General features: G+C 33.6%; 1 annotated feature.

Annotated features, from left to right (window-relative positions):
- Nucleotides 8,035-8,632: an enhancer, noted in NCBI's record as "NANOG hESC enhancer chr6:48732670-48733267 (GRCh37/hg19 assembly coordinates)". NCBI's record gives its function as "activates a minimal SCP1, AML or CMV promoter by ChIP-STARR-seq in naive H9 embryonic stem cells {active_cell/tissue: H9 hESC(naive)}" and the evidence as "EXISTENCE:reporter gene assay evidence [ECO:0000049][PMID:30033119]".

A 16,820-nucleotide genomic window follows, 5' to 3' on the forward strand; every position in this document is an offset into this window, starting at 1 on the left:
TTTCCAGATACATTTTACAGCTGAACATTAACTAGGTTAGGGCTGTTTGAGAATAAAGAGATAACTGATAATATAAGTGAATAATATGACATTATTATTTTCCTTATTTTGCTATCAAATGGGTTTCATCAGAAGTGATTTTTGAAGCTGGAGACATCATGCTACCCAACTTCAAATTACATTATCAGGCTACAGTAACTAAAACAGCATGGTACTAGTACAATAACAGACACATTGAAAAATGGAACAGAATAGGTAACCCAGAAATAAAACCACACTCCTATAACCATCGAATCTTCAACAAAACAATAAAAAACAAGCAATAAGGACTCCGTAATCAGTAAACGGAGGTAAGATAACTGGCTAGGCACATGCAGAAGAATGAAACTGAACCCCTACCTTTCATTATATAAAAAATTAACTCAAGATGAATTAAAAATTTAAATGTAAGATCTAAAACTATAAAACTCCTAGAAGAAAACTTAGTAAATAGCCTTCTCAACATCAGCTGTGGCAAAGAATTTTTGACTAAGTCCCAAAAAGCAATTGAAAAAAGAATAAAATTGACAAATAGGGCCTAAATAAACTAAAGATTTTGTGCACAGCAAAAGAAACTATCAACAAAGTAAACAGACAACCTACAGAATGGGAGAAGACATTTGCAAACTGTGCATCTCACAAAGGTCTAATATCCTGAATTTAAGAGGAACTTAAACAAATCAAGCAAAATCAAATAACCCATTAAAAATGGGCAAGGGAGATGAACAGTCACTTCTCAAAAGAAGACATACAAGTGGGCAAAAAAAAAACATATAAAAATGCTTAGCATCATTAATCATCAGGTCAATACAAGTCAAAACCACAATGAGATACCATCTTACACTAGTCAGAATGGTGATAGCCTTTAAAAAGTGGAAGAATAACAATTGCTTGCCAGGCTTCAGAGAAATGGGAACTCTTACATTGTTGGTGGGAAGGTAAAGCAGTCCCACCACTGTGGAAATCGGTTCAGAGATTTGTCAAAGAATTTAAAACAGAGCTACCATTTGACTCAGCAGTCTCATTATTGGGTGTACACTCAAAGGAAAATAAATCATTCTGCCAAAAGATACGTGCACACATATATTCAGTGCAGTGCTATTCACAATAGCAAAGACACGGAATCAACTTAGATGCTATCAACAGTGGATTGGATAAAGAAAATGTAGTACATGTACAGCATGGGATACTACATAGCCATAAAAAGAACAAAATCACATCCTTTGCAGAAACATGCATACAGCTGGAGGCCTAAATTATCCTAAGCAAATTAATGCAGGAACAGAAAACCAAATACCACATGTTCTCATAAGTGGGAGCTAAGTATACATGGACATAAAGATGGGAATAATAGACACTGGGGACTACTAAAATGGGGAGGGAGAAAGGAGGGGCCGATAGGGATCTCTGCTCACTACCTGGATGACAGATTCATTCACACTCCAAACCTCAGCATCACACAATATACCCATGCAACAAACCTGCATATGTACCCACTGATTCTAAAATAAAAGTTGAAATTACTTTTTCAAAAAGAAGTAATTTTTGATTAAGTTACAGAACGGTATACATGTCCATGGATGATGGTGCTTGAAAAGCATCATGGATAGAGGAAGAAATTTAAATCTATATCAAGAAAAAGAAAACAAAAACATTTGCCATAATAATACCTCCATTCCAAGTGTGAAGTTCTATTCATTTTGCCCTAATGTGGAAATTACATTTAGAGCAGCAAGTCCAATTGAAACCGTGTCTAATTAAGTTGATTACCACCTACTATCATTTCTAAGATGCCTAACATCTTTTAGTAATGACTTAATTAGTAGCTCAGAGTGTCTTCTTATTATAAATACTGTCATTATCCTGAATCATTTTTAAACCTTCTATCCCATCAACATCCTCAACTTCAGTGACCAATACATTCACTCTGTTTCAGCCACATGTAAATTGGCATCACCCAGAAATGTTCAATTCAAATATCTATCATTGTTGACACTATATCTTATCATTCTTGTTATTTATATGAATATATTATTTAATTTTTAGTTTTTTCTAATTGACAAAAATTGCATATGTCTACCATGTAGAACATGATGTTTGGAAAATGTGTATATTGTGGAATGGCTAAATTGAGCTAATTAACATTTGTATTACTTCACATACTTAATCATGTTTTTGTGGTGAGAAAACTTAAAATCTGTTAGCAATTTTTATTTATTTATTTTATTATACTTTAAGTTTTAGGGTACATGTGCACAACGTGCAGGTTGGTTACATATGTATACATGTGCCACGTTGCTGTGCTGCACCCATTAACTCGTCATTTACATTAGGTATATCTCCTAATACTGTCCCTCCCCCCTCCCCCCACCCCATGACAGGCCCCAGTGTGTGATGTTCCCCTTCCTGTGTCCAAGTGTTCTCATTGTTCAATTCCCACCTATGAGTGCGAACATGTGGTGTTTGATTTTTTTGTCCTTGCGATAGTTTGCTGAGAATGATGGTTTCCAGCTTCATCCATGTCCCTACAAAGGACATGAACTCATCATTCTTTATGGCTGCATAGTATTCCATGGTGTATATGTGCCACATTTTCTTAATCCAGTCTACCATTGATGGACATTTGGGTTGGTTCCAAATATTTGATATTGTGAACAGTGCCGCAATAAACATACATGTGCATGTGTCTTTATAGCAGCATGATTTATAATCCTTTGGGTATATACCCAGTAATGGGATGGCTGGGTCAAATGGTATTTCTAGTTCTAGATCCTTGAGGAATCGCCACACTGACTTCCACAATGGTTGAACTAGTTTACAGTCCCACCAACAGGGTAAAGTAGTTCCTATTTCTCCACATCCTCTCCAGCACCTGTTGTTTCCTGATTTTTTTAATGATCGCCATTCTTACTGGTGTGAGATGGTATCTCACTGTGGTTTTGATTTGCGTTTCTCTGATGGCCAGTGATGATGAGCATTTTTTCATCTGTCTGTTGGCTGCATAAATGTCTTCTTTTGAGAAGTGTCTGTTCATATCCTTCACCCACTTGTTGATGGGGTTGTTTTTTTCCTTGTAAATTTGTTTGAGTTCTTTGTAGATTCTGGATATTAGCCCTTTGTCAGATAAGTAGATTGCAAAAATTTTCTCCCATTCTTTAGGTTGCCTGTTCACTCTGATGGTAGTTTCTTTTGCTGTGCAGAAGCTTATTAATTATAGTCCCTATGTTGTACAATAGAGCTCTTAAACTTGTTCCTCTTATCTAACTGAAATTTTGTATCCTTTAACCAATGAAGTATATATGTATACTTTGATATGATTGACTATCCAATCTCTACACTACCCTACCTACTTTCTCGTTACATGTAAGTCCCACTTTACTTGACACTTTTCGACTTGTCTACTTAGAGTGTCAAAAAATATAACTGCAGCCAGTTTTTCCTCCAATATCCTGACCTCCTTTGCCCCAGGAAACAAAACATAACAAACTCACACATCGAATAACATCGTCTGACTCAACTCCTCCTATGTCTGGGTTATGAGGCATTATTAAAGAAAATAATAAAATACACAGGTAGAGTTGTCTTTCTACATTTCATGGTCTGCAAATGTGTTTGGGTGTTTAATACAACCTAGAAATTCTTTGATGAGTGCCAAGTAATTTCTTTCTCCAATTCCACTAGTGATTATTTTTAAATGTCTAAGTTCTCGTCAAAATTTTGAAAACAAAATCATGACTTATCTGAACAGATGATTTTCACTCTCATTCTTAGAGAAGTAATTTAATTTAAACACCTTCAAATTTATTTTCCACCATAGATAATAAATTGTTTCAAAATCACAAGGGCATCTGAACTCTTGTTGAGAGGCATTGCATTAAGAAGAGCTACTATAACTCTAATGCCTGATTTAAACAGGTGGATGAGGAGTTTTCCCTTTGTATGTCACTAGCAACATAAAACAAATTAAGTATAATTTTTATGCATAAATATTTTTCTATAAGAATTTACAAAGGGTACATATATTATTTATTAGACTATATACAATATTTGGGATGATGATGGTAGTGATCTATTTCTCATTGTGTCTGGCTAAGTACGCCCACAATTTTTTGCAAAAGACAGAGAAACATGGAGTGACTAATGAGTGTAAGGCTTCAGAACTATAAAAAAATATATATATATTGTTTCCCAGGACACCAGCTAAGTATAGTGTCTTCCCTGGGGAGGTAATGTGGCGTTTGTAGGTGGACAGATTTGAGTTGGATTCCTAGTTCTACTTGAATACCTTTGGAGTAGTTTATGTTATTTCCATGAATTTCAATATAATCACCTTTTTCTTTTTTTTTGACTGAATCTTGCTCTGTCTGTGGCCCAGGCTGGAATGCAATGGCGCAATGGATCTTGGCTCACTTGCAAGCTCTGCCTCCCAGGTTCCAGCGATTCTTCTGCCTCAGCCTCCCTAGAAGCTGGGATTACAGGCACCCGCCACCTCACCCTGCTACTTTTTATATTTTTAGTAGAGATGGTGTTTCACCATGTTGGCCAGGCTGGTCTTGAACTCCTAACCTCACGTGATCTGCCCACCTCTGGTGTAATTACTTTTTAAAAAAGAACTAATGACACCTTCCTCATGAGATAGTTGTACAGATTAAACAAATGTACATGCACAAAGCTCCTTCTACACAGTTTGTGCTCAGTACAAGAGAGTTTCATTTTTTTTTTTTAACTTCAGGTGAAGGTTAAAGTTCAAAGCCAAAGATAAATAATTAGGACATGTTATCTTGGACCAAGATCTTAATTGCAGATCTGATGGTCTAAGAGGTATGCTTTCAAGAATATTAAGGCAAGTACTACAAACTCCTTACTAGCACTTCCATATTTTATCAGCTGGGTGAGAACAAAACTTCCACAGTTAAAGGTCCAATCTTTAACCCTAAGACAGTATGTGATACTAGTTAAAATCAGATGGACAACTGTGCAAAATCAGATGTATAAATGTGACAGCATTTATTTTGTGCATGTTCAGATTGAAGAAATAATGTTTATTATAGAAAATTTATAAACTGTGGCAAAACATCAAAATAGATATTTAAATCCACACATGAGCCCTCCACACAATAATAATCATAGCTAACACTTGCTTTACATTCTCTTTTAAAACTGGAATTTAAAAAATATATTTCGTGATTATTCTTCTAAAGACTAGTCACATCTGCATCATATTCCACCACTGCAGTGTATCACAATTTACCAAAATACTATGTTGCACGATTCAGGTTTTTTTTTTTTTTAATTATTGCTTGTGAAATTCAACAAGAGCTAACTTTTGCTGATCTTTGACAACTTATCCAGCACAAAATTATTGGGTTGAAAGATAAGATATTTTTACACTTGTGTTGTGCATTGCCAAATTGCAGCATCTTGACATATTGAAAATACTGGATACAAAGATTTTATTCAAGAAAATGAGGAAAAACAAGAGAACAGAGACCCTAAAGCTTTTAAAGAGTGGGTTGAAATGCAATGGGCCATGGGAGAAACTGGGAGAACTCCCGAGGAAATACTCCTATCTGCTTAGAGTCAGCTCATTTGGTTCAAGAACTAAATCACAAACCAGGTCACTAAGAAGCAGTTGTACTTAACATGTTGTTGTTGTTGTTAATTAGTTATCTTGTGTTGAAAATCTTTTCCTCCATTTCTTCTATACACACATCCTCCTCCTAATACTCTTTTTATGTAATAAAAATAAAATATGCTAAATAGATGGCACTAATGATCTGTCCGATAAAAGCTGTGGATTCATAGAGCATATACAACATGTAATAAAATAACCTTTGCACTGATTTTAAAATTAAGGAGGCTGGAATGTCTTAACTTGTCCTCATTCAATGATCCAGGAGTTTGTGGATCTTCAAATATTACTATCTTTGGGAAACATGCCCTTATTTTCTGGTAAATGATGGACACTCCTTCCTCTGTACATAGAGAGCAAGGCTTTTACTCCATGATTGTTATTCATACCATGTATTATGTTTTTCCTGATTTGTGTCTACCTCATATTTATTTTAATTGATAGTGAACAATTATTGAGAACACAGTCCAGATATTGTGATTCTTCCATGCATAAACTTTTTGTTGTCGTTACAGCCTCTAGTTCAGTGCTCAGTACATACATTTTTAAAAATGTAACAATTGCTTGAATCAATAGATAAAGGAATAATGCAATAATACATGAGCTATGATTTTCAAATGCAGAGTGTTATTTAAGTAAAGAAGCAGGCTAAGGAATGTGGAGCCATTGCATCAATTGTTCTGAAATACAGCTACCTTTAGCTCAGAGTGTCTCTTTTACAAGAGTGTCTGACCATGAGGTGGGTCCTAGTCTGCTCTACAAATAGTATCCTTTATTATACGTGCCTTAATGTGAAGAGATTGGAATGCATAACTGAATTTGGAGAATTTCAAGCATATGATTACATCATTAAATTTGAAGAATTTTGTATGTTAACTTTAACTAAAGGTCTGAGTTTGAAGGACTTATTAAATATCATTTTCCAGTAAGTACTGAGTGTGTGTATGATCTTACACATGAATCTCACGAAACAAAGTCTGTACCCAGCCTGTCTATTTCAAGGGGATGTCATTCTCTGCCTTGACAGGAAGTCTCTATATCTGAAGGGGTTATGTCTAATGGAATTGCCAGCACACAGGTAAAATTGTGTTACTATAGGTAAGTGTTGCCTTGGCTGTATGCAAGTTACCAATATTGATGGTATTTAGTGGAACATGATGGCTTTTCCAACTATATAAACCTGTGTCGTTATTTTTGCATGGAACTGTTGTCTTGCAAAGTCGTGAAGTAAGGAAGAATATAGCAGATGTTTTATATTTTGCATATAACCACAAGTCTGGTAACACTATGGGCATAAAATTAAGAAACAAATGTTCTAATCACTTTTTTAAAATTTTGCTCTTAGATTATTTCTCTAACCTAACTGAAACTTAGTAGACTCATCCAGAAGATTAAAGTTGGTCTGAGGATTCTTTCTTTCATTTTTAAAATGCTCTCCTTATGTATAGAAATAGCAGACTGTCCAGCACTCTACTGAACTCTAATAAACAAAACTTATATTACCTATGAGAAAGCTGGAACTTTCCAGAATATATGATGAAGTAGCCATTTCTTTTAAGTGATAGTTATTTTCTGATGAAAACCAGAATACTAGTTTATTGAAATAACTTCAGAAACACAACAAACTACTTTAATTAGGAAATAATCTGTCTCAATGTGTCCCATTTGAACTATTATTCTCTATTTAATTTCATCTGGGTCTTATCTATCCAGATTTCCTGTAGCTGATTATAAGTGTATGCCTACAGCTGGTTGTTCTCATATCAGCACTTTATATTTAAAACAACCAAACAAAGCAGAGAGTCCAGGCAAGAGCCCAGATTCTTCTACCCTTCCTACATGAGCTGCAAACATGTATTCAACAATAAGACTGTGGCCGGATACATTTAGTTTCATCGGAATACAGATTTAAAGCTTTTGATAAGTAATACGGTCAGGCACAACAGAAGTCTCCATTTCTCCGTATCCTTCCCATTCCTTTCATTACCCGATGTGCTTCACTCGTCTTTATTATGTGTCTGGTTTCTGAAGTTATTTAATATTGGGAACTCTGATTTGGCAATTGCATGTGTTTTTTTACTGTTGAATTAGTTTTACTCTATTTATTGTGTAGATTTTAATGATCTTGGCAGCAACTTTCTGACACTTGATAGGTAATAAAATTCTGAAACTTAATATAGGAAACCCTACCACTACCTGCTCATAGTGTTGCATAACAAAGTGAGGGGTGTGGTGCCACTAAACACATGCAGAGTTCTATATTTTAAAAATAACCTGCTAGCAGAGAGAAAATATGAAACCATTTTCTGCCTTCTACATATAAAAATTTTAAAATATAAAACCTAAAATCTTCTATAGCCTGGCTGGGATTTCCAACTATGAATAGCAATCACCACACAAAGCATTGATGTAATAAAGGAAAAATAACCACCCTTATTTGGTAAAACTTTAAATGTTAACAGTGCGATTTACAATTCATTTACTTCCATCTTCTTATCACAGTCAAGCATATGAGGACAGAAAAACCTAAAACAGATGGGTAGTTCAATGAATTTCTTAATCTTTTCTAGCTCTTTATCCTCAAAGGAATTTTAAATTCACTATTGTAATGCATATGTCTTGAATCAGGAAAACTGGTAGGGAAACATAGGCAAGTTATTTTCTTTAATTGAAGAGATAATCTGTGTATTTTCATATTTCCAGCGTATCTTTAAAAAACACAGCATTAACATTTAGAGCACTTAGAAAGTAATACAATAATCTGGATTTTCTCGAGTTAGTGGCCTTTCCTCCCAAGGTATTTACAGGGGATTGCCATCTACCAAGTGTGGCTGAATCCCCGGGCAGTCAGACTTCCGAATGCTCGAACGAATAGCTCAAGAGAGCCACCTACTGCTTATATGGATATCCAGTATGGAGAAAAAAAATGTGTCTTCAGTATCAAATTACATCAATGTAATGTTTTTGTCAAATGAAAACAAAAATACTGCTGTGGCTGTGTTAAGAAACAATAGTCAATATATCACATTTTTTTTCATTCATTTATCTATTGATGGACCCTAGGTTGCTTCCAAATCATAGCTATTGTGAATAGTGCTGCAATAAACATGGAATAAAAAAGGAACACTAAATTAGGCTTTAAACTCTTTGAGCTATCCTTGCCACTTCGTACTTTTTGAGGGACTTACCAAAAGCACAGATTACCAAGTAAAAAATGTATGAAATGGTCTCAAGTTCCAGATTTATGTGTTAGACTCTTTATCTCCTTTTCATACTATCATAGAGCATTTTCTGTTGCTCTCATTCTAAGAAGAAAATACAAGACTGAAGGTAGAAGTGTGTATCCCAGAACAAAATGTTTAAAAGACTGGCCAGTTAGCCAGACATGTTGCTGGGATTGCTCCTGTAATCCCAGCACTTTGGGGAGCTGAGTTGGGAGGATAGCTTGAGCCCAAGAGGTAGAGGCTACAGGGATTGGCCGGCATATTGGCAGTGACAGGATAAACTTGGAATAAAGACCAGTGCTGGGATTATTAATTTTATCCCTGCTACTAATAGCTCCTATTTATAGAGTTCTAGATTACAAAACCATGATCAGATGTAATTTTAATAACTACTTCCTTTTTTGTACTTGAAGAATTTGATGCCCACAAAGAAGGTGAAATAATGTATTCAAGGTCATACTATTATCTAGGTCCAGAACATGCTGGAACACAGGGATCCCCGAAGTTTTTATCTAACACGACATCACTATGCCCGCCAGATTCTTCTCAATTACATATCCATTCAGCAGATTTGACCTGTAGCATTACAGGTGAAGTAAGGTTGAGAAATTGATTCAAGTGAGTAATATGTAGCCCTGCACAAAGGGAGTTCCAAGTACCATGGGGTGAAAAACACCCAGATGTGAGTCACACAAAGCAGAATTCAAAGTCCAGATTTCTTTCCTTAACTGACTCAGTCACTTGCTATGATATTTTCATCAAGGGACTTAAATTCTGTGAACATGAGTTTCCCAAAAAGTAAAATTAAAAAAAAATCTATCCTACAGAATTATTTTAAGGATAATACAAATACAGGTTAAATGCTTTGCTCAAGTGGATAGTACATGTGAATTTGGGCTCATATTATTAGTAAATAGATTACCATAACATCAGGTAAAAGAAATGAGAAGCACTAAAAAATGTACTCAATGCTACAGATACTTGATATACAAATATGAATATTATAGAAGTATTTATACTGTGTATGTTCCCCTGCTTAAAAATATAGACTTTCAGACTCAGAAGACATTAAAATTAAATCTAGACACCTTTTGCTGCCATCTCACCATTACTACTCTGAGGCTTAAGTTCTTTTACTCATGACTTACATTTTTTAGAGCCCTAATAATACTTTTCAATAATAACTTCATTTATTTATCCCACAGATGAAGCAATGAGCAAATTGTGAAATAAATCATCTTTACCTGCAGGGAGTACATTCCAAGTTACTACACAACTTCCACTCTATCAATTAATATACATCACCTCCATTTGCTTGAACACCTTGAAAAATAACACCATGAATACAAGGATCTATCTTGTGTGCACTGGAAATGCTAATAACATCAATGTTTTCACTCTTATATGCATCCAATATAATTATCCAATACAATATTTATAACTTCAAATTTTCCATTTTGAGGAAGCATGTATGAGATTAAGATTTTTCTACATCAATTTCTCTTCAAGAACAAACTAATATAGAGAAAAATATATAACAATACATGGGAAACTTTTTGTTCCAGTGTCTTTGAGATTTTATTTTGTTTTGTAAATCATCCACTCATAGTTTGTGGAAGATTTAACACTTGATGTAGTGATGTTCTTTATCTCTTGATTGATTTTCTTGCTTTAATATGTTTCTAGCAATATTTTAATAACTATAGAATCACCTTCTTTTAAAGTTTTATTTCTTGTTGAAAATTATTCCTGATAACAAACTTTACATTTGAGGGATCACCATTAGGTTGTAGAAGAACTATTATGAAATTAGGAAACTATTATTGGAAAATTATAATTAGGAAATTATAACTATAAAGTTAGTAACAAATCCTAAGGAGCAGATGTACTTAATATATGACTTTATGTTAAGTTAAAAATTAATTTGTAATTAAAATGAAATTGGATGAGGAGGAGTATTTAGAAATCATGACTTACATTAATGAAACATTCTGGATTGCATTTGTATTACTCTCAGAATGTGTTGAGTGTATTAAATAACATTATACTCAATATTACAAATGATGTTTGGGAAAGAAGACATATGGAGAGAAGGCCGATGACTTTCCTACCATTCATTAGGTGTTTGTTATTAGCCATTACTTATTAGCTATTACACACACACGCGCACACACACACACACACACACACTTCAGTTCAAAAGTAGAGGTGGTAGTGCTGGTAGGGGTGGTGGGTGTGTTGTTAGCTCAATTCTGCCTCCTCAAATCAGATGAAAAAAATTGGACGTGGTTACAAAATAATTTTGTAGAAGTGTAATTCCATCTAAAGAGGAAAGTGTGGCATTAAAGTAATCTGAACTCATAGTAATTCATACAGTCAATGATAAGTGCCTAGTACAATTTTCTGTGGTGCAAATGAAATCACTTGGACCCATGTGGTTCTCAGATTCTTCTTTTACCTTAAATCACTAATAGAAAATTGATCATATAGTGGTTATAATATATAGCCATCAATCTAGCATTTTCAGTCTTCCAAAAATAGCAACTATATTTCACATGCACTGGAGATCTCTTTCTGCTGAGATAGTAAAACCATTCCTGTCATTATTAAGCATCTTCTAAGCTCTGGGAAAATTTAGAAATAAAAATAGACTAGGGTGTCAATCAAAATTATTGGATTAATATTTTTTGAAAAGTCTAGCAAAATACTAGTTCATTTTGGGCTTTTTGTCTTGTGCAAAATAAAATGTCCTCACTTATAAAGTGAAGAACATAGTTGAGCTAGTCCAGGTCAAGTGTTTAATTATGTAGCTCAAATGTCATGTATCCTGTTCACGATAGGAAATGATGAGTTGCATAGTGAATATAATTATCACTGTCTTTCTAACCTTATGAATTTGTGACCATATAACAAAATCATAAATGACAAAATACTTTATTACTTTATACAAGAATGGCACTATGATTTTGTTCTATCGCCTTTCTCAAATTCTTTGTGTGATTAAATACTTCCTAGAGGGTACCATTCACGCAGCACTGATACAGGTTCATGAAAAAGAAAAATAAGACTAAAAGGTCTAGTTCTCCACACACATTTTTTTTAGTGGTGTTACTTCTCTCGTAACATTCAAGAAACTTATACATTTATTCCTTTCTAAAAATCTAAAAATCTTACAATAAGAAGTTATCATCAGCTCAAGCACTCAGGCAATATTGTGAGAGAAAATAAATGTGCATATATATATATACTTATGTGGAATACAGTATACTTATACTGTGTGTGTGTGTATATATATATACACACACACGTACATACACTTATGCTGTATATATTTATACAGTAATCCAAGTATAGAATTGCGAGTATATATATGTTTAAAATATATAGGCATATATGTGCATTTATAATATGTGAATATACACTTTCATACCACTATCTCTTAAGCTACCAATCATGTTTTATACTTGGTTTGCTGTGTGTATATATATAATTTAAATTGCAGATTACACCATATAATGAGATAATTGTAGGTACTTTATTCCTAGCTTGATTTAAAAATGTAGCTTCTTAAATATTGATGACAAAATGTACTACGAATTTTATTTTAATTGTTTCTTTTTTTTTCAGTCAAAGTGATCTTTCCAACTGAAATATTCTAATTGGAAAATCTGGAATCTTACTGTAGTGTTTTGAAAGGAGAGGCTTAAAATTGAAAGAGATATGCATTTATAATATATGAATATACACTTTCATGCTACTGTCTCGTAAACTATCAATGATGTTTTATTCATGAGGCATAGAGGAAAAATGCAGTAAGGCAAATGAAAGAAAGAGAGAAAGAAAAAGAAACAAAGAACAACAGAAAGAAAGAAAAAGAAAGAAAGAAAAGAAAGGAAGGAAGGAAGGAAACAAAACTCTGTAAGAAGTTACAAGAAAGTAAATATTAACTGGCTATGCATCCATCATAAAGAAGTCCACAAATGCATTGAAACCTCCTCAGAAGGAGAATAAAAAGATAAATAAAAGAATAAAAGACTAGCAGACTGAAAGCAGGCAACAGGTAACACCTTTGCAAAAATAGCATATATGATGGTCACAAACAAGCAATATATTTATTTTAAAATTTTAATTTAAATTTTGAATAGGTAAGGCATTTTTATGATTCAAAATGAAAACTATGTAGAAGACATATACAAAAGCCTTTCTTTCTTTCTCTCTCTTTCTTTCTTTCTTCTTTTTTTCTTCCTTTCATGTGAAGATACTTGGATTTAGATAGCTGCCAACATTATTATGGTACAAGAACATTAAACTTAAGAATATATTCTTGATTACATAACTACCCTTGAACACAGTGTCTGACATATAGTTTTTGCTTAATAAATGTTAAACTGTTATCTTAATCTAAATAATTTTGTAATTGTCGTTACCTCTATTAAAAAGGAAAAGAAAGGAAAAAAAACTATCATTGACTCTTCTTACTTAAAAAAAAGAAGCCCAGTTTTTGCTATTATATTTTAGGACCCACAGAATATCATCCAAATTGTCTATACAATCTTATACTCATGTTCTCTTCACAAATCTACTGCACTTAAAATGGTCAATCTATTTTGCTTTGAATGTGAGATATTTTTTGCTACCTCTTAATTTCTTCTCAAAACCCCACCTTTTCTAGAAAAGTCTTTCTCCAGTATTTGTATAAGTTCTACCATTTTGTTATGTTCATATTAGGTTTCAGTTAATCTTGAAGTTGTCTCCAACTTTCACATCCTTTAGTACTTTTTCCATTTCATAATTTTAGCAGAACTTAATGCTTAGGTTTCCCATATGAAACTTAGTCTATATTGACAGTATTTTCTAATTCTCATAGATCCTACGCTGCCAAACCAAAGCATCAATGAACACATTGTGACAGCTCTCAACACATTAATGACTACCCAGAACTAAATAACATTCTTTAAAGGCACCTCATTTTTGCATCATTTTCGAAGTCAGTATAGTCTGGAAGATAATTAGTGACAATTTGAGTACTCTTCTATTCCAATTTACAGCTATTTGAATTTAACATAAGGAAGAAAATATTTTCAATATGGATTTGGATTCAAATTATGAATTTTGCCATGTTAGTATCTTTGTAGAAATTTTTTAAGAGGGTGGATTATCTAATTTAAATATTCTATATATTCATAACCAAGAAAATTCATTTTCAAACACATTCATAATGATAGATTTTATTCAGTATTTTGACACTCATGCATTTAAAATTCCTTAGAGACTGAATACTCATACCATGTCAGGCAAATGCTAAGAAAATACCACTTATCTAAAAAAAATACACAATGAAAAACACAAAAATTATGGGATTTAGCAGAAATGTTAGAAAGACATTACAATAGCTTTATTTTTGTTGCAGGGGCTTTTAGCTCTTAAAGAACCAGAAATGTGAAGACACAGAGCCAAAAAATTCAGAAATAGAATAAGCATTCTATATAATTCTTGTTATTTAAACTGAACATGCCCTTAACTTGCCATTACAAAACAGTAAGTATAATTTTAATTGTATTGAACTTTTCCACACCCCTAAATTTTAGAAAAACATATTATCCAATCTGATTCTGATGAAGGCAAAATCTCATTGGAGATAAAAAATACTATTCATCCTTGTTTTGTCATTAACAATGCTTCAGGGGTAATGGATTGAGTTTATATTAAGGAATGGATTCTTCCTATTATGGACCTCTTCATCAGCCAAGTATGGTGAGAACAAAGGAATTATCTGCTACTTTAAGAATTTCATTAAGCCAACGTTTGATATGCATATTGTGCCTGAAAGCTGGGATTGCTGTCCTATAAGTGGAGTCCCACTGAGTCCAATGGGGCTTCGAGATCCTATATGTCATACCAACAGGAAAAATTCCATGACTCTTTATTGGAAATATGGTGTCTTATATGGTAATTATTCCCATATACTAAATTTAATGTGCTATCAAATAAAATTTTATTTTCTTCATTACTGACCAGAGTGTAGCCACCTTGCTTCTATGATGTACCCTTACAGGTGGTATAGTAAATGGTGGATATGCCCTTTTATACAGTTTTATACCTCCCAGAAGCAATTAATTTTCGTTGATACAATAACATTTAATATAGTATCAGTTTCTGCTCCAGATTAATATTTATTTTTTTAAATTATTATTATTATTTTTTGAGACAGAGTCTCACTCTGTCACCCAGGCTGGAGTGCAGTGGCATGATCTCAGCTCACGGCAACCTCCTTCTCCCAGGCTCAAGCAATTCTCATGCCTCAGCCTCCCTAGTAGCTGGGATTACAGGTGTGTGCCACCACACCTGGCTAATTTTTTTTTTTTTTTTTAGTAGAGATGGGGCTTCCCCATGTTGGCCAGGCTGGTCTCAAACTCCTGACCTCAGGTGATCCACATGCCTCAGTCTCCCAAAGTGCTGGGATTACAGGCATGAGCCACTGCGCCTGGCCTAGATTAATATTTAATAGCATTTTCACCATTGAGTAATAGACCTGGTTATGAATTTTGGATATCTTACTCAACTATTGTCTGCTATTCAGCCAATTTTCTTGGGTAATTTGAATTTCAGTTTTTATATGAACAAAATGCAGGTAATAACATGTATCTTAGAGGATATTTCAAGTAGTTATATGAAATAATATATGTAAAATGCATAGCACCATGCATAATACATAATAAATACTAGATCAAATCATCTGTTCATTATCTATTCATTCAACAAATGTTTATCAAACACATATAATATTCCAGCACTTCATTAGACATTGGCGATCTAGTCATCAGAAAAGGTTATGCAATCATATCCAACCATCTCAAAACATTAAGGGAACATAAAAAAAAGGATTTATTTTAGCTCATGCTACTTGCGTGACAATATGCATTATTGTTGCCTGGGGCCCCTGGTCCTCACTGAAGTCACTCTGGAAACCAGAGAGTAACCATTCCATATAATGTTATTAATTTTTACAGGGGAAAAGAGAACCAAGAGTAGTGCATTCAGACCCATAACATTCCTATCTGGAAGTCAACCATGTCATTTAAGTTTACCTTTTATTGGCAAAGCAAGTGACAAGGGGACATCAGCTTTCTATCTGAATGAAGAAAAGTAGTCGTCTTACAACTTGTCCAGTAGAAGGAGAATAGGAATACTTTTAAATGGGCCTAACCACTAACCACAAGAATGAACAGAATAGTACAAGATCCTTAACTTCATTAAGTTCCTATTTTGGAGAGGAGAGATGATAAATAAGAGAAAAATATAAATTACATTAAATGATAATAGTATATTTTAAGGAAAAAGTGTATGTTACTTTCATTAAGGAAAAAATAAGTTTTAAACAACCATCCCTCGCATTAGAATAAGTGGAAAACATATAGACAAAATATGTGCATCTGCTAATTGTGAACATGAAAATTGAGCAGCTAAGAAATGAACAAAGATTTTGATAGATTCATGAATTGGGGGATACAATTAGAACTTAGGCCACTCCATGTGGAAAGAGCTCTGGTAAATAGCCAGGCCTTCAATTGAAACATCAAAAAACTACTATCTGGAATTAAAATTTACAGAAATTATATCAGCCCTCACAATCGGTGTTATCTGGTTTTGGATCATTGAGATCACTGGTCCATTTAAATTGTCATGGTGTTGATAAATACATAACTGCCTTCCAGAAGCAAAATTCATCTCTGGAAGAAGACAAATCTTCCAAAGTTTCAGATTATCTCCCCCAATTTTTCTATCTAAGCAGACAAAATAAGCAGATATGTGAAAAATAAGTCATATCTGAACGAAAAAATTTTCAAAAGACAATCTATACAGCCAATAGGTGATATAGACACTTTACCAGAATATGGATTTGAAGCTTTATTTGTTCAAGGAAT

Source organism: Homo sapiens, chromosome 6 (assembly GCF_000001405.40).
Source record: "Homo sapiens chromosome 6, GRCh38.p14 Primary Assembly".
Taxonomy (NCBI): Eukaryota; Metazoa; Chordata; class Mammalia; order Primates; family Hominidae; genus Homo; species Homo sapiens.